The sequence below is a fragment of the Homo sapiens genome, chromosome 6, assembly GCF_000001405.40.
Source record: "Homo sapiens chromosome 6, GRCh38.p14 Primary Assembly".
NCBI lineage: Eukaryota > Metazoa > Chordata > Mammalia > Primates > Hominidae > Homo > Homo sapiens.
In genome coordinates, this window is record NC_000006.12 from 26,346,455 (window position 1) to 26,365,155 (window position 18,701).

At 43.4% G+C, this 18,701-nt stretch overlaps 1 pseudogene, besides 1 other annotated feature; it reads right to left on the bottom strand.

Annotated features, from left to right (window-relative positions):
* Positions 1-6,492: 6,492 nt before the first annotated feature.
* LOC124901520 (uncharacterized) lies at positions 6,493-6,578 on the bottom strand (annotated as a pseudogene).
* Positions 14,572-14,621: an enhancer, noted in NCBI's record as "active region_24239". NCBI's record gives its function as "activates an Ori minimal core promoter by ATAC-STARR-seq in GM12878 lymphoblastoid cells {active_cell/tissue: GM12878}" and the evidence as "EXISTENCE:reporter gene assay evidence [ECO:0000049][PMID:35858748]".

The window sequence follows — 18,701 nt, forward strand, 5'->3', positions numbered from 1 at the left end:
GAAACAGGATGTCTGTGATCATAGATTTCTTCTTAGGCAGCTTATTCATCCCCTGAAAAACCTCTAGCTTCATTCTAATCCAGTTTCCATGCTAAATGACATTCGCACTTGCACCATGACAGTTGACAATCACCATGATAATGACTGGAAGAGACTGAAAAAGGACAAAAAAGAGGAGGCTCCTTGATTCCAAGAAAATCTTCGTCCCTTCTCAAGAAAAAGCAGGAATATTCCTTCCCTTGCTCTTAATGCCCACCCCTTTACTAAGTAAGATACCGTACATCTGTGACTTCCCAGTTCTCAGGGGCTGGAAAGTTATTTGCAAGCTATACTCCCACTTCTCCAACTCCACGGTCATTAGATAAAGCCTACACTGCTTGACACTTGGTTTTGTGTATTGGTTTCTGGACACCACACAGAAAAGAGCCCCTTTAGGAGTAACTGGGACCCCCAGTAACAATATAGCAGAAAGGAAGACTAAAGTCTGTCCAGAAATCTGAACAGATTTTTGTCAAAAACCATTGTCCACTCTGCGGGCCCAACAGACTTTGCCCCACACCACTGTATGTTCTTCAAACCCATTGGATTCTCCCTAGAAATTATTTATTGCCCCTCAACAGAATTCCTCTTCATCCTGCTTCCACAACCTGTTTTGCCAGGATCCTAGCCCCCATTCTTTCTGTAACCTCAAGATGATATACAAGTCTCTATACTCATTGAGGGGTTGAGCCTTCATTCTGAAGGCTCCTGTACATACACATTAAGTAAATTTGTATGCCTTTTCTCCAACTAATTTGCCTTTTGTGAGTCACTTTTTCAGTGAAACTTCAGAGGGCCAAAAGAAAAGCCTTGGTCCCCACACTCGCAAATAGCAAGCGGCATAACTCCTTCCAGCATTACTTTCATAAAGTCAAAATGTTTTTCTTCATGAAGTATTTATTTTATAATTTCTATAGTCTGAGAAGTAGTTCACTATTTTCTCTATTATCGTGCACAACACAGCAGTTATGAACAGAAACTTCAGTATGAGACACATCTGGCTTTAAATATCAGCAATCTGTTCATCTCTAAGTGACCTGGGCCGGATACTTAATTTCTCTGAGCCTCATCTGTGGGATAAGTGTAACCCAGGATCCCCAGGTCACTGCAGAAAAACTACCCACTTGTAACTGTTGCACCTTGAGTTTTTGTTATTTCAAAAAGTTTCCAGGAACAACCCCAGCCCCTGCAAAACAAAAACCAATTGGATCCAGAGATGCCTGAGTTGGAGAAGAACTTTTTTGAACTTTCCATATTACCATACTAAAACCAAGACGGGAGCCTATTCGTCATTTTTTGTATATGTGATGTATGAAGAAACATGATCAACGGCTGCACCTGCGCTGACTTTATCCCACTTTTACATACAATGACTCAGCTGAACAGCACAATAAAGGCCCCACTTTCACCTTTGTTCCAGGAGGCACTGCTTTGGGAACTACTCCAATGTTCTCTTTACTTGTTGCAAGTAATCAAATACCTTTGTTAAATCCTCCGTGGTTGCAGTCATTGGACTGACACCTGCCAAGCGATGGAACCTGTCGTGTGGGTAATGTAAGCTCAGCACTAACTGTTTAAAAGTGATGTTCTGAGGATTAAATGAGATCATGCATATATAAAACACAAGTATAGTGGCTGTAAAAAAGCCAATAATTAGCAGTTGATAAAAATTAGTTTCATTCTCATCCCCTACACCGTCTGTTACCTGCATTAAATTGCAATGATCTGCCTGTATTAAGGCCCTCATTTGAACAAATCAATTATAAAAATACATTTTTGAGACAATTGGGGAAACTTGTGTAAGACTGGGTTTAGACGATTTGAAGAAAATGCAGTATTAATTTTACTAAACATGATAAAAGCACTGTGGTTATGAAAAAAAGCTTACCAGAGATTCATTCTAAAATGCTTATGTGTGAGGCTGGGCACAATGGCTCACACCTGTAATCTCAATGTTTCTGGAGGCCAAGGCAGAGGCCTCTTGAGGCCAGGAGTTCAAGACAAGCCTGGGCAAGACCCTGTCTCTACAAAATAAAAATAAAAATTAGCCGGGTTGGTGGTGTGCCTTGTAGTCCCAACTACTTAGGAGGCTGAGAAGATTGCTTGAGCCCAAGAGTTCGGGGCTGCAGTAACCTATGATTGTGCCACTGTACTACAGCCTGGGTGACAGACAGAGCAAGACCCTGTCACAAAAACAAACAACAAACACACACACACACACAAATGCACAGAAAATGCTTAGAGGTGAAAATGTATGGCATGTGGGAAGAAAAGGGAGGTTACAGAGACAGAACACTTTCCATCTGGCAAAATGTTAAAATTGCTGAAGTTGTGAATGGGCACATGAGGGCTTCTTTTGTTTTTTGTTTGTTTGTTTGTTTTGCTTATTTATTTTTCTTTTTGTATTAGGGCTTCTTTATACTGTTTTTTTTTTTTTTTTTTTTTTTGAGATGGAGTCTCACTTTGTCACCCAGGCTGGAGTGCAGTGGCGCGATCTTGGCTCACTACAACCTCAGCCTCTCCGGCTCAAGCAATTCTCCTGCCTCAGCCTCCCAAGTAGCTAGGATTACAGGTGCATGCCACCACACCGGGCTAATTTTTTTATTTTTAGTAGAGACGGGGTTTCGCCATGTTGGCCAGGCTGGTCTCAAACTCCTGAGCTCAGGTGATCCGCCTACCTCCGCCTCCCAAAGTGTTGGGATTACAGGCGTGAGCCACTGCACCACTGAGCCTGGCCTTTTTTTTTTTTTTTTTTTTTTTTTAGATGGAGTCTGACTCTGTTGCCCAGGTGGGAGTGTAGTGGCACGATCTCGGCTCACTGCAACCTCTGCCTCCCGGTTCAAGCAATTCTTCCTGCCTCAGCCTCCTGAGTAGCTGAGATTACAGGCACTCGCAACCACACCCAGCTAATTTTTTTTGTATTTTTAGTAGAGACGGGGTTCCACCATGTTGGCCAAGCTGGTCTTGAACTCCTGACCTCAGGTGATCCGCCTGCCTCGGCCTCCCAAAGTGCTGGGATTACAGGCATGAGCCACCGTGCTCGGCCTGGTCTTTTTTTTTTGAAATAGGGTCTCGCTCTGTTGCCCAGGCTGGAGTGCAGTGATGCCATCTGGGCTCACTGCAACCTCTGCCTCCCAAGTAGTGAGATTACAGGCATGCGCCATCATGCCTAGCTAATTTTTGTATTTTTGGTAGAAATGGGGTTTCACTATCTTGGCCAGGCTGGTCTGGAACTCCTGACCTCAGGTGATCCACCCACCTCAGCCTCCCAAAGTGCTGAGATTACAAGCGTGAGCCACCACACTCGGCCTTATACTATATTCTCTACTTCTGTGTTTCTCGAAAATTTCCATAATATAAAGTTTTAAAATCGAATTTTAAAATGACATGAAAACGCTCTTAGTACATTGTTGAACCATACAAAGACAGGTCACAAAGTATTAAGAATTCATTTAGGAATAAAAGTACATCATTCACAAATCCATTCCACAAGTATTTACCAAATGCCTACTATGTGTCAGGCACTGTTCAAAGAGAACGGTGTTCAGACTGGGTGCAGTGGCTCACATCTGTAATCCTAACACTTTGGGAGGCCGAGGTGGGAGGATCACCTGAGCCCAGGCATTTGAGATCAGCCTGGGCAACACAGTGGGACCCTGTCTCTACAAAAAAGAAAAAAGAAAAAAGGCCAGGGGTTGTGGCGCATGCCTGTAGTCCCAGCTTACTCAGGAAGCTGAGGTGGGAGGATCGCTTGAGCACAGGAGGTCAAGGCTACAGTGAGCCGTGATGGAGCCACAACATTGCAGCCTGGGCAACAGAACAAGACTCTATTTCAAAAAAAATATTGGGGGTTGGGGGAGAAAGACGATTGTTCTGCAGAAATGTCAGTCTCAGCTCCCAGGATGTTAATTTTCAACCGACAGGGAAAGTTAGAGCACTTCTGAAAGCTCATGCATCCATCAAATGTGGAACGTCTTTAAACTCCATTTATATTTGTTTCAAAAATAGACTGTACCTGAGGCCAATTTGTGGAATTTGAGAAGTTTGACTTCACGATATCCAGTCTCCTCTTGGTACTCAGTTTCACATACCCAGGACCTGCTGACTTTTTAACACTATCCCTTATCAGATAAATTCTGCAAGGCAAGGCCCTTATCTGTTTCACATTTGCATACTTGAAGTAATGAAGTTCATGCCTGAAAGACAAGCTGTAGACGACCAAACCATTGGTTGCATAAGGAGAGAAAGAGAGAGAAGAGAGGAAGAAATTATCATTATTGTTTACCTTTGACTTAAAAATTCATTTGCTCTAACTCATTTTACATTGCATCTGATGTCTTTCATTTCTAATTGTGGAATAAAAGGCTATCTCCCTCATTAAATAGACTTCAGGCAATAGCAAGCAGGTTAGAAACATATTTTCGGGTATAAGGGAGTCTCCTCTCTCCTAAACCATGCCTTAGAGTTAATAATGATTTTTAACATTTTCTCTGGGGTGTGGAGAGCAATATCTGTTTCTCTCCATGTCCTTCCCCACCTTCATAGTCAGCAAGATGATTAAGCTGTTCTGATCCACAAAATGCGGAACCTCAGACCTAACTAATAGAGTCCTCCCTCTGATCAGTGGCAAAGAGTAGCCATTATCATTTTTTAATGGTAATAATATTTATTACTTTTTAAACTTATTTTTTAATGGTAATAACATTTATATTATACTGGGTGTCTGTATATTGAGTTGCCATTCCAAAGGACTATATAAAAAATATATATCTAAATGCTTGACAAAAAAAAAATGCAATTTTTTTGGAAAGGAATATATTTGGTGGCTGCCTCATGCAGCTTAAGTGTCCAAAATCTGATAGATTGGTGTATCCCAGTGGTAGTTTTCTGTTGCCACAAACTCCAATCAGCAGGAATGGGGGTTGTAACTCCTGTACAATAGTTCTACCTTATCCACAGTTCTGTTTTCTGCAGTTTGAGTTGCTCCTGGTCAACCTTGGTCTGAAAATATTAAATGAAAAACTTCAGAAATAAACATTTCATATGTTTTAAGTTGCAACTGACTCTGGGTAGGATAATGAAATACCACCCTGTCCAGGATATGAATCATCCCTTTGTCCTGCTTATCCAAGCTGTGTATGCTAACTGCCCATTAGTCATTGACATCATCTGCCCCTGACATCCAACCACAGACGTTATCATGGCTCAGTGATCCAGGATCACCCAGGCAGATGATCCTCCTTCTGATGTATCATGAGGTCAACAGTAGCCTAACGTTCCATCACAGTGCCTACTTCACTCATCTCGCTTCATCTCACCACTTAGGCATTTTATCACCTCATCATCATAAGAAGAAGGGGGAGTACAGCACAAGACGATATTTTGAGAGAGAGACCCCATTCACATAACTTTTATTACAGTGTATTGTTATAATTGTTCTATTTTAAGCTAGTGTTGTTAATCTCTTACTATGCTTAATTTATAAATTCAACTTTACCATAGGTATGTCTGTGATAAACATTGTATATATAGTGTTTGACACATCCATAGTTTCAGGCATCCACTGAGGGTCTTGGAACATGTCCCCCAAGGATAAGTGGGGACTACTCTAGTGCCATCAGGCTAGCAGGCTGTAAAGGTTTTAATGGCAGTCCCTGGACCATGGCTTATTTAATTGCTTCCAAGGCCCACTGCTACAAAGGGCCTCATTCAAAGCTGGTGGCTTTGTTGGTCACCCTGACTTAGGGGACCAAAAGAACACTCAGGTGGGGTACATGTTGCCTCCAATGCCCAAGTACCCAAAGAGGCCTTCCAGCTGTTGGGCCTCCTTTTTATTAGTGGATGTCTCCAAAATTAAATTTTTTTGCTTGGTTGTATCTAGAATACTTTTCTGGCTTACTGCCCATGTGGCCTTCGCATTTAGCCCAGGGACAGTCCACTGTTAGTCTCCACATCCGAAAGCCTTTTTGACTAGCCAAACTGAGCTGTTACATTATGACAGGGTAGTTTGTAGCATTTCCATTTGTAACAATAATTAACACAATAATGTCCTGTTCTTCAGTTAGTATGCAGTACTGTTTTTTTGAATAACCCACTGGGACTTGGGTGGCTTAGGTGGCAGACAGGCATGGATATGCCCCGCCGTAACGGCTGGAATTCTTAGCTGTGAGCGGGCGCACCCCTCAGGCAGTGATGATGTGCTGAGCCCCAAGCAGCCAAAATGTCAATGACTATAAGACATTCAGCCACAGGAACCAAAGTCACCGGCACCTCAAATGGCCAGAGGCACCCCACAGCAGATAAGCACCATAGGTCACTGCTTTTGTCCCCAAGCCTCTTAATGTCACCAGTTTAATTTTTCCCTTAAGGAGACCTGGAAATATTGTCACATGGGTTCCAATATCTAAGAACACCAGAAAAATATGAATTCCTTTTTCCCCCTTTTTATCTTTTAAAGGAATATTATTAATTTTAAAAGCAGGGACCATGCTAATCATCTCTATATCATTCCAATTTCAGTATATGTGCTGCTGAAGCAAGCATGTCTTTTTTTTTTTAATTTTTAAATTTTAAATTTTATGAGCACATAGTAAGTGGATATATTTAATAGGTACGTGAGACATTTTGGTACAGGACGCAATCTGTAATAATCACATCATGGAAAATGGGGTATCCATCCTTTCAAGCATTTATCCTTTGTGTTAAAAACAATCCAATTATACTCTTAGTTATTTTAAAATGTACAATTAAGATATTATTGACTATAGTCTTCCTGTTGTGCTGTCAAACATTAGGTCTTTTTCATTCTTCTGTTTTTTTTTGTTTTTTTTTTTGTTTTTTTCTTTTTTCAGATGGAGTTTTGCTCTTGTTGCCCTGGCTGGAGTGCAATGGCATGGTCTCGGCTCACTGCAACCTGCGCCTCCCGGGTTCAAGTGATTCTCCTGTCTCAGCCTCCTGAGTAGCTGGGATTATAGGCACACACCACCATGCCTGGCTAACTTTTGTATTTTTAGAAGAGACAGGGTTTCACCATGTTGGCCAGGCTGATCTTCAACTACTGACCTCAGGTGATCCACCCGCCTCAGCCTCTCAAAGTATTGGGATTACAGGCACGAGCCACCACATCCGGCCCTTTTTCATTAACCATCCCCACCTCCTCTCCCGCTTCCTCCCACTTCCACTACCCTTCCAAGCCTCTGGTAACCATCCTTATATTCTCTTATCTCCATGAGTTCAATTGTTTTGATTTTTAGATCCTGCAAATAACTGAGAACATCCAAAGTTTGTCTTTCTGTTCCTGGCTTATTATAAGAACTCCTGTTTTATCTTGACAGGAATATAGAGTGACTGACCTCCAGTGGGGAGGAAACCAGAGACCGTGGCCCCATTCCCAACTGGGCCATTCAGCCTGAGACATTTGGATTTGATAGAACCTCTTTGATAGAACCATGGCTTATTGATGAAGTGGAAGGAGTGATACCCGAAGTACCCAGCCCACGGTGTAGACATCAACCTACAGGGGTGCGGAAGCTGGACACACCACCCAGCCTGCACAAGATTTAGCTGGCTATTCTCCATTTTTATTCTTTGGATAATGAGTTTCTGCTCTGTAAATGCCCTTATGAACTGTGTTTGGTTCCCTCTCAGATGCCTCAGGGACCACCAGAGGACCTCTTCCTCTTCCCTCTCAGGGTTCTCAGGGATCAACTGAGTATCCATTTCCTGAGTTCTCTAGCTCTCGGGAATGAACAACCATACAAGTGTCCAACAATCAGAGGGTGGCTTGCCACTGTCCTATTCTATATTTCTTTCTCTCTGCCCCAGTCAGTGCAGCCAGCTCACTCATATCCGCAGGGTTGGGGGTGACCTATGTCCTGTTTACAAAAAGAGTCAAACTGTAAAACATTTGAAGAGATTTATTCTCAGCCAAATATGAGTGACCAATGGCCTGTGACACAGCCCTCAGGAGATCCTGAAAACATGTGCCCAAGGTGATCGGGGCACAGCCAGGTTTTATAGAGTTTAGGGAGGCATGAGACATCAATCAAACACATGTAAAAAATTCATTGGTTGGGTCTGGAAAGGCAGGACAACTCGAAGCTGAGAAAGGGTGGTGGGGTGAGGGTGTGGCTTCCTGGTTATAGGTAGATTTAAAATTTTGTGATTGGCAACTGGTTGAAAGAGTTATTATCAATAGGAAGGAATGTCTGGGTTATAATGATAAGGGGTTGTGGAGAACAAAGCTTTATTATGCAGATGAAGCCTTCAGGTAGCAGGCTTCAGAGAGAATAGATTGTAAATATTTCTTGTCAGACTTGAGGTATGTGTTGATGTTAATGCTGGTCAGCTTTTCCTGAAAGCCAAACTTGAGTGGGGTATAATTGGCCCTTCTTTCCTGTCATGACCTGAACCAGATAATCAGGTAAACTTTGGAATGCCCTGGCCAAGAGGAAAGGTCCATTCAGATGGTGAGAAGGCCTTCAAATTTTATTGTTGGCTTATAATCTCACCTCTCATTCTTCCTTTTATAAATCATCTGGCTGCTTGTCCAGCTCCTGCACACCTCTAGGTTGATGTCTACACCCTGGGCTGGGTACTTCGGGGTATCATTCCTTCCACTTCATCAATAAGCCATGGTTCTATCAAAGAGGGCCCTGCTCACTTCACCAATTTTGTGAACCAGATTCACCATGCACTGGTGAATTTTGTGAACCTGCCTGAGCCTGGTGAGACAGAAGACACTCACATGCAACAAGTTACATGAAGCAAATGTATTACTTACAGATAGGAAGCAAGAGACAACAGAAGACTAGAATTCATTATGTGCCAGTTTCCCAAGGCTTATGAAAGCTGCCTTGGGTGGATGGAGCTTCAATTGCACATGGCCTACTGTTGTTGCAGCTGAGGGGCCCCAAAAGCAGCTTACCCCAGGCTCAGTACCTCAGGGGCCACAGGAATCACTGGGTAAATCTCATCCTACTTTCAGGGAGAGAGGAACAAGGCTCTGGTTGTCCTAGCAGTTCCTCCTTAATTCAATATGTTACATTCTTTAGGAGAGCCAGGAGCCAGGCCCAGGCTGTTTCAGGCAGTTCCTCCCTGCCTCAGGATATGGGCATTCCCACACACTCTACAGTTGTTCTTCAGACTACAAGCAAGAAATGGAGGAGAACTGGGTCAGTGCCTGGCCACTTGGAGAACAGTTCTGCAGAAAGAAGTCACACCTGTGAAAACTGCCTGCCAAGAGGAAACAACTACATTGACATGTATGTGAGCAAGAAATCAATTGCTATTTGGTTAAGCCATTGAAACTTTCTATTTTTCTTTCTTTTTTTTTTTCTTTTTTTTGAGAAAGGGTATCACTGTAGCTCAGGTTGTAGTACAGTGGCATGTTAATGGCTTACTGCAGCCTTGACCTCCCAGATCCAAGCAATCCTTTTGAGTATCTAGAACCACAGGTGCACACTACCATGCCCAGCTAAATTTTAAACTCTCTAAAGAGACAGGGTCTCCCTATGTGGCCCAGGCTTGTCTCAAACTTTTAGGCTCAGGTGATCCTTCCACCTCTCGACATCCCATAGTGCTGGGATTACAGGAGTGAGCCGTCTTCCCTGGCCTGAAACTTTTACATATATTTGTTACAGCAGTTGACACTACTCTAAGCAGGATATATACCTTGCATGTTCAATAAAGAATATATAGAAATAGCAACAGTTTTCAGGGGAACATTGTCTTTGAGGATGAAACTCTGACTTTTTTTCTTATCTTGGCCAAACTCCTCCCTAAGGGACCTTGGGAGTCACCCCTACAAACCATAAAGTTTCATCAGAGGGGTTTTATTTAACCCTATGTGACGTGGTTTGCTTTCCAACCTGGCTCTGGCATGACCTCACATAATAAATAAGGAAAGAAATGAAAATATTTTAGCCCCAAATATATTTCCTTGTCTTGAAATGACCCTGCAAAGTTGTCTCTCTCTTGTGGGAATAAAATCTACATCTTTTTTTTTTTTTTTTTTTTTTTTTTTGAGGCGAAGTTTCGCTGTTGTTGCCCGGGCTGGAGTGCAATGGCGTGATCTCGGCTCACTGCAACCTCTGCCTCCCAGGTTCAAGCGATTCTCCTATCTCAGCCTCCCGAGTAGCTGGGATTACAGGCACATGCCACCACACCTGGCTAATTTTTTTGGTATTTTTAGTAGAGACGGAGTTTCATCATATTGTTCAGGCAGGTCTTGAACTCCTGACCTCAGGTGATCCACCCACCTCAGCCTCTTAAAGTGATGGGATTACAGGCGTGAGCCAACGTGCCCAGCCCGTTCTTTTCCTTTTTTTTTTTTTTTTTTTTTTTTTGAGATAGAGTCTTGCTTTTTTTCCCAGGCTGCACTGCAGTAGCGTGATCTTGGCTCACTACAACTTCTGTCTCCAGGTTCAAGTGATCCTCCTGCCTCAGCTTCCAGAGTAGCTGGCGTGCACCTCCACACGCAGCTAATTTTTCTATCTTTATTTATTTATTTATTCTGAGACGAAGTTTGGTTCTTGTTGCCCAGGCTGCAGTGCAGTAGTGTGGTCTCAGCTCACTGCAAACTCTACCTCCTGAGTTCATGTGATTCTCCTGCCTTAGCCTCCTGAGTAGTTGGGGTTACAGGCATGAGCCACCATACCTAGCTAATTTTTGTGTATTTTTAGTAGAGATGGGGTTTCACCATGTTGGCCAGGCTGGTCTCGAACTCCTGACCTCAGGTTATCCACTCGCCTTGACCTCCCAAAGCACTTGGATTACAGGAATGAGCAACCGCAGCTGGCCAACTTTTGTATTTTTAGTAGAAATGGGGTTTCACCATGTTGGCCAGGCTGGTCTTGAACTCCTGACCTCAAATAATCAGTCTGTCTTGGCCTCCCAAAGTGCTGGGATTACAGACATGAGCCATCTCGCCCGGCCAAAACTTTTTTTTTTTTTTTTTTTGAGACAAAGTCTCACTCTGTCACCCAGGCTAGAGTGTAATGGTATGATTATGGCTCACTGCAGCCTTGAACTCCCAGGCTCCGCTTCCCAAGTAGCTGGGACTACAGGTGCATGCCACCACGCCTGGCTAATTTTTGTATTTTTGTAGAGATTGGGTTTTGCCATGTTGCCTAGGCTGGTGTTGAAATCCTGGGCTCAAGTGATCCACTGTGCTTGGCTTTTTTTTTCTTTTTTTTTTTTGAGACCGAGTCTCGCTCTGTCACCCAGATTGGAGTGCAGTGACTCGATCTTGGCTCACTGCAACCTCCGCTCGGCTGGGTGCGGTGGCTCACGCCTGTAATCTCAGCACTTCAGGAGGCCGAGGCGGGCGGATCACCAGAGGTCAGGAGCTCAAGACCAGCCTGGGCAACATGGTGAAACCCCGTCTCTACAGGAAATACAAAAATTAGCCAAGAGTGGTGGCGGGCGCCTGTAATCCCAGCTACTCAGGAGGCTGAGGCAGGAGAATCATTGGAACTTGGGAGGCGGAGGTTGCAGTGAACTGAGATTGCACCCATGCACTCCATCCTGGGCGACAGAGATAGACTCCCTTTCAAAGAAAATAATAATAATAATAATAATGTTTTCATGATGCTTTGTTGATATCTCCTTCATCTTAACATATCCAGAGGCTGCTGGCCATAGTCACGTGTGAATCTTGGGAATAAAGTAATAGAACCATGGGAAGCACTCGCTATGTCTATTGACTTATGTGCTCACAACTACACAGATAATAATTGGGGGCATATTTAATCCACATCTCTCAACTGAATGACAGTTGTCAGAGGCCAGTGATCTGCTATTGCTGTTCATCGTGCCTTCCAGCTGCCTCCACATTCTAAGGCAACTACAACATGTGAGAAGAAATCGATAGGTCACCAAAGTGTGGTATCATATGTTCTATATTATAGAGCACATATGATTTAATAACAACAAAAAGCTTTCTAGGCCAAATGCAGTGGCTCACACCTGTAATCCCAGCACTTTGGGAGGCCTAGGCAGGAGGATCACTTGAGCCCAGGACCTCGAGACCAGCCTAGGCAACATAGTGAGACTCTGTCTCTATTAAAAAAAAAAAAAAAAAAAAAAAAAAAAAGCTTTCTAAGCACATCCGAGAACTGTAGAAATCACTGTGGTCTAACCACCTCATTTATAAATGAAACCATTGATATTCAGAGAGGAAGTGATTTGCCTATGGCTACCCAGGTTTTGTCCTGGGATGACGATTTAATCCTTAAAATAGTAATCTGTTTATGAGTTTTCTGATTTTAAAAGTAATTTGTTTTTATTCTGGAAAATGAGAAAAATAAGGAACTTTTTTGGAGGTTCTAACAAGGGGGTGAGTGCAGCTACTCATATATCCTTAAATGATCCGGCTGGGCGTGGTGGCTTATGCTTGTAATCCTAGCACTTTGGGAGCCCAAGGTGGGCGGATCACTTGATGTCAGGAGTTCAAGACCAGCCTGGCCAATGTGACGAAACCTCACATTGTGAGGGGGCCTGGGGCTAAGCAATAGAAAAAATTTGCTGCTGAGCATTAGGAAGTTTCTCCCTCTCAAAACTGTGTGCTCAAAGAGGATGACCTTTCCCAATAGAGGAGGCTCATTCTTATTTTTTAATTAATTAATTAATTTATTATTATTATTATTTTGAGATAGAGTCTCACTCTGTCACCCAGGCTGGAGTACACCCAGGCTCACTGCAACCTCCGCCTCCCAGGTTCAAGCAATTCTCCTGCCTCAGCCTCCCAAGTAGCTGGGACTACAGACATGTACCACCACACCCAGCTAATTTTAGTATATTTAGTAGAGACGGGGTTTCACCACATGGGTCAGGCTGGTCTCGAACTCCTGACCTCGTGATCCACCCGCCTTGGCCTCCCAAAGTGCTGGGATTACAGGCATGAGCCACCACGCCCAGCCTCTTTCTTCTTTTATTGCAGACCTCTGGGATTCAGTTTACCATGGCCCTTCTCTCAACAGCAGCCACCAGCAAACCACTTAACCCCTTGGGCTCCTGCTTCCCTTCAACCAAGAGCAACAATCATCCTTTTCTTTTCTTTTTTCTTTTTTGAGACAAGGTCTCACCCTGTCACCTAGGCTAGAGTGTAGTGGCATGATCTCAGCTCACTGCAGCCTCTGCCTACGGGGTTAAAGCGATTCTCCCACCTCAGCCTCCCGAGTAGCTGGGACTACAGGCATGTGCCCCCACGGCCAGTTAATTTTTGTATTTTTTGGTAGAAATGGGGTTTCACCATGTTGGCCAGGCTGGCCTCGAACTCTTGACCTCAAGTGATCCGCCTGCCTCGGCCTCTCGAAGTGCTGGGATTACAGAAATGAGCCACCACGCCTGGACAGAAATGTTAAAATTTTAAAAAATTATTTTAATGCCAATTTAAATCTAAAAATTGTAACCTAAGCAGACTCTATATCATCTGGTTCACATCTTTATAATCAACTGTTGTGGAGTGGTTCCAGTTTCCAAGGAAACTACTGTTTATCATATCAGTGACCAATGACTTCCCTAATAACAAATTTTAACTTTTAATGCTGCATTTTTTAACTAGTTCCCATCTCTTTCAGTAGTTAGAAGACATATTTTCAGATGTATTATAAAAATTAGTTTTTGTCTAAACAAGTTTTTTACATAACTCTGCTGAAGAAACTCTGGCCTGAAAGATGAAGTCCAGCTTTCTTGGACTTTTTTTTTTCTTTTTCTTTTTCTTTTTCTTTTTTTTTTTTCGAAACGGAGTCTCGCTCACTCTGTAGCCCAGGCTGGAGTGCAGTGGTGCGACCTCAGCTCACTGCAACCTCTCCCTCCTGGGTTCAAGCAATTCTCCTGCCTCAGCCTCCCGAGTAGCTGGAGCTACAGGCACCCACCACCACACCTGGCTAATTTTTGTATTTTTAGTAGAGACGGGGTTTCACCATATTGGCCAGGCTGGTCTCGAACTCCTGACCTTGTGATCCGCCCACCTTGGCCTCCCAAAGTGCTCGGATTGCAGGCGTGGGCCACCGCGCCCGGCCTCCTTGGACTTTTTATCTGCATTGCAGGCACTCAGTGGTCCAGGCCACCTACTTCTGCTCTACCTTTGGACATCCTGGCAATGTGCTGCTCCTCAGCCTGACCACAACACCTGCAGTGTCCCAAACATATCATGCAGTTTCATGCCTCTGCACCCATTTCCTCTCCCTGGTCAACACACCTGGGTGACCCCTATTCTACTCACTCAGACAAACCAGGACAGGATCCTTGACCTTTCTGCAACTCTATTTTTCTCACCTAGAAATAGAATTAATGACATCTACTTCTTTAGCAGATGTTTAGGAATGAGATACGGTGTGGAGAGCACCTGGTGCGAACACAGCGCGTATCTGTGATAGTGACCGTTAGCCGTTATCCTCATCACCACATCCTTTCCCCACATCTCAGATGGTGCCACAGTCTACCACCTCAGAGAGAAAATAGAAAAGGGAGGTCCCAAACTTCCTGCTCCACCACCTATACCTGTCCCTCATGATCTGTTTCCTCTGATTTCAACAAGCAGGTGTTCTTTCTCCTGTCTCAGGCTAATTCTGCACCCACATCGGGGAGCCCCCACCCCAGCTTCCCTCAGGCTTCTCTATTTGGTCAATTCATTAATTCATTCATTTGACAAGGATCCATGAACGCTAACTATGTGCCAGTCACTATTCTAGGTGGTGGAGTCACAGAAGTGAACAAAACAGAAAGTTCTCATTCAAAAACAACATAACTTGTGGTAGGAGGCAGACAGGAAATGAAATAATTAGTAATATATATGGTGTGCTGGATGATGATAAGTGCTCAGGAGAGAAATAAACCTGGAATAGCAGAACTTGCATTTCTTTTTGAAGGGGTCTTGCTCTGTTGTTCAGGCTAGAGTACATTGGAGTGATCATAGCTCACTGCAGCCTAATTTTTTTTTTTTTTGAAAGACAGAGATCTTGCTATGCATACTGCCCAGGTTCTTGAACTCCTGGCCTCATGCAATTCTCCTCCCTCGATCTTTCAAGGTCCTGTGATTACACCTGTAAGCCCTCGTTCCCGGTTGGAAGTTACAGTTTAAAATAGGGTGGTTATGAGCAAGGGGAGCGAGGCACAGAATACTTGGGAGAAAAGCATTCCGAGTTGAGAGAACAGCAGTGCCAGAGCACAGAGGCAGAAGCACTGTGGTTTGTGTGAAGAAAAGCAATGAGGCTGGGGTGCGCAGAGCACACAGGGTGATCAGGAGAAGAGGAGGTGACAAGGCCAGAGGGGGTTGAGGGCCAGATCATGTATGGCCTTGAAAGTCATCATGCTGACCTGGGCTTTACCTCTGAGAGGGGAGCCACTGGAAGGTTAGAGCAGAAAAAGGACTGGACTGACTTATGTTTTAAGAAGTTACTTCACATGCTAGACCAAGATGGGCTGTGGGTAGGGGTGGTGGATGGAGGCCTGAAGACCCAGCTGGGAGCTACTGCAGTGATCCAGGGGAAAGATGCAGATGACTTGTACCAGGGAGGAGCCATGAAAATGTTATGATGCTGGATTTATTTTCAAGATAGAATAAAAAGGCTTTGCTGATAAACTTACAGGTGGGGTGTGAAAAAGGAGGGCATCAAGGGTGACCACAAGGTTTTGGTCCTAAGAAACGGTACAGATGGAGTTGCCACTTACTGAGATGGGGAAAATGAGGGAGAAACCGCTTGTGGAGGCCAGAGGAGGAGCCAGCACAGAATCCAAAGGTCAGTTTTGAATATGTTGGGTTTGAGGAGCTTACTAGAGATTCCCGTGGAGATGTAGAGTAGGCAGGTCAATAATAAGCTTGCAGTCCAGGCAACGGGTCAGGGCTGGAAACACAAGTTATTCTCTTTGTCTTCTTTATATTCATGTTTGTTGCCACTGTGTGTTTCACTTACCTAATGCATTCGTGATTTATTGCTGCATAACAAATTACCACAAACTTAGTGGTTTAAAACAGTACACTTTTCCAGCCTGGGCAACATGATGAAACCCCATCTCTACTGAAAACGCAAAAAATAAAAGATAAAAAATTAGCCCAGCGTGGTGGCACACACCTATAATCCCCGCTACTTGGTAGGCTGAGGCACAAGAATTGCTAGAACCCAGGAAGTGGAGGTTGCAGTGAGCCAAGATTGTGCCACTGCACTCCAGCCTGGGCAACACAGCGAGACTCTGCCTCAAAAATAAATAAATAAATAACAGTACACTTTTATCACTTCAGTTTCTGTGGGTCAGAAGTCCAGGCAGAGCTTAGTGGGCTTCTCTGCTCAGAACTTCACAAAGCAAAAGTATTATTCATGCATGTAAACCTCTAAGCACAATACCAACATCACGGTAGGTTCTATGTGAGTATAAGCTATTATTAAGAATAATAATCAATCCTCTTCCCTCTCCTCCATCCCTAAGGCCTCATCATTTCTTGCCTGGAGTGTCACAGTAGCTTTCTTCCTGGTCTCCTTGTCTTCTACCATCTGATTCTCTAATGAGGACTGGCTATATTGTGTAATCATAGCGTCATCATTCCACAGAATACAATGTAAATGGCACTCTTACTTCCCATCTTCCCTGGCACCTTTCACACTATTGTTTCCAATGTACACATTTTCTCATGCCATTTTTAAAAAAGATTTTCTCTTCACCTTCAAACTAAAACTCCAACTCCACAACAGGCACCAGCTGATACCGAACCTTTCATAATGGAAAATAATGACATTCATAAAGAGTTAATATGTGCAGGTGCTGTGCTAGGTTCTCCCCAAACAACTTAAGAAGCAGGTCACATCCCTACCCATAGCTGAAGAAACAAAGACATTGAGTGAGAAATGAACTTAGGGGTCTCATAGTTTGGAAACTACAAAGTTCAGAGATATGAAGAGTTGGGCTCAGAAACTCCTAATCTGAAGCTTAGCACATTGGCTGCTTCTTTGTGTCAAAGTGACTTGGACCCTCCAGGCAAAGGTGGGATGTTCATTCTTACTAATACGATCTCAAGCAGCACAGCTTCTGATAGAGTCTGAATTTAAAAATAAACAAATGAACAAATAAACAAATATTGATGGATGAATAGGGGTGAACAGCAGGATGGATTTATAATAAAGTAAGAAACTAAAATATTAATTATACAATCTACATGGTAGATATATTGGAATTTACTGAAATTCTTTCACCTTTGCTATATGTTTTAGAAGTTTTATAATAAACTGTTGGGGAGGGGGAAGGGGGAGGGAAAAATTGTGTTTTTCTGTTGATAACAGAGACCAGAAGTACCACTGGCTTAAATAAAACAAGGATTTGTTTTCCTTTCATGAAAAACAAACTTATTTGGAAATTTACCCTGAGTACTAATATATAATAAAATATTTTAAAAGAAAAAATTTTTTAAATAAATTTAGATGGTGACAGTCCAGGGCTGATCTGGCACCTCAGATATGTCATTCATGCCCCAGCCTGCTTCTGACTTCATTCTCTGCTGTCCCAGTGTGTGGCTTCCAACCTCAAGGCTGCCTCATGGTCCCAGGGTGGGCTACTGCACCTCCGGGTCCAAAGTCCATGTTCTAGGCAAGAGGAAGAAGGAAGAAGGGAGAGTGTACCCTCACACTCCCAGCTATTTTGGCCTCCCTTTGAAGGATTTCTGGGAGAAGTACAAGCCCACAACTTTCACCTACAAACCGCTGGCTCCAACTTAGTCCCTTGGCCTGCCCTATCTTCAAGGGGGAAGAGCAGGATGCAGTACCCCAGAAAATTAGGCCTTGTCACTAAGAAGAAGGGGGCATGCACGCTGCAGAAGCAACCAGCCATCTCAAGCAGATACCACACAGCCTAAATTCAAACTGTTGCAATATAATCAAATCCCATCAGCTCCAGTCACATATTAGCTCTAGGAGATTTCTGGCTTGCAGCCCAAAAAAGTGTGTTTTGAGGTCGTAAGCCACAGGGAGAACAAGATTGTCCCATAAACTCCTTACAGAGATGGTGTACAGGAAACGAGCCTTACAGAGACCACAGCCTATGGAGTGTCTAGCTTCAGAGAATATGTACTCCACTGGCAGCGTGAGAAACAAATACCCAAGAAAATACAATATAGCACAAACCAGGAGCTGAGGGTGAATGAAGATGCTCAGAAAGATCTGCAGTAAGAATTTCCTGGGAAAGGTAAAACAATGTCAAGCAGCACTGCCTCTGGAAATCAGAAAAATTATATTATTTGATACCATATCCTAAGCCTAAATGCCAGAAGTTCTTAAAGAGGTGCAGTTTGTCTCATTTTCTTTCCATTCATACCTTTATTAGGCTCTGTAAAAAAGATCCTCCTCTTCTACGTACCTATCTACATGCAAGCAAACTGCCACAGAAGCATCTTAATTAGTGCACATCTTCCTCTCTTTGCACATTAAATTTTTTTACTTTCCTACTCCATTCTGCTAATATTTCTATTACCATGTAAAAGACACGAGACAGGTGAATATAAAGAAATACTTATATACATCCACGCACAAGAATGATTCAAATAGATAAACACAGAAACACAAACACTAAGGGAGGTAGGGCTGGAGTTTTTCCTCAACGTGTACAATTCAATGTACTTTCAGTTTTCATTTCAACGTTCCTCAGTGGTTTCTGCCCAGCAACTGATGAGAAAC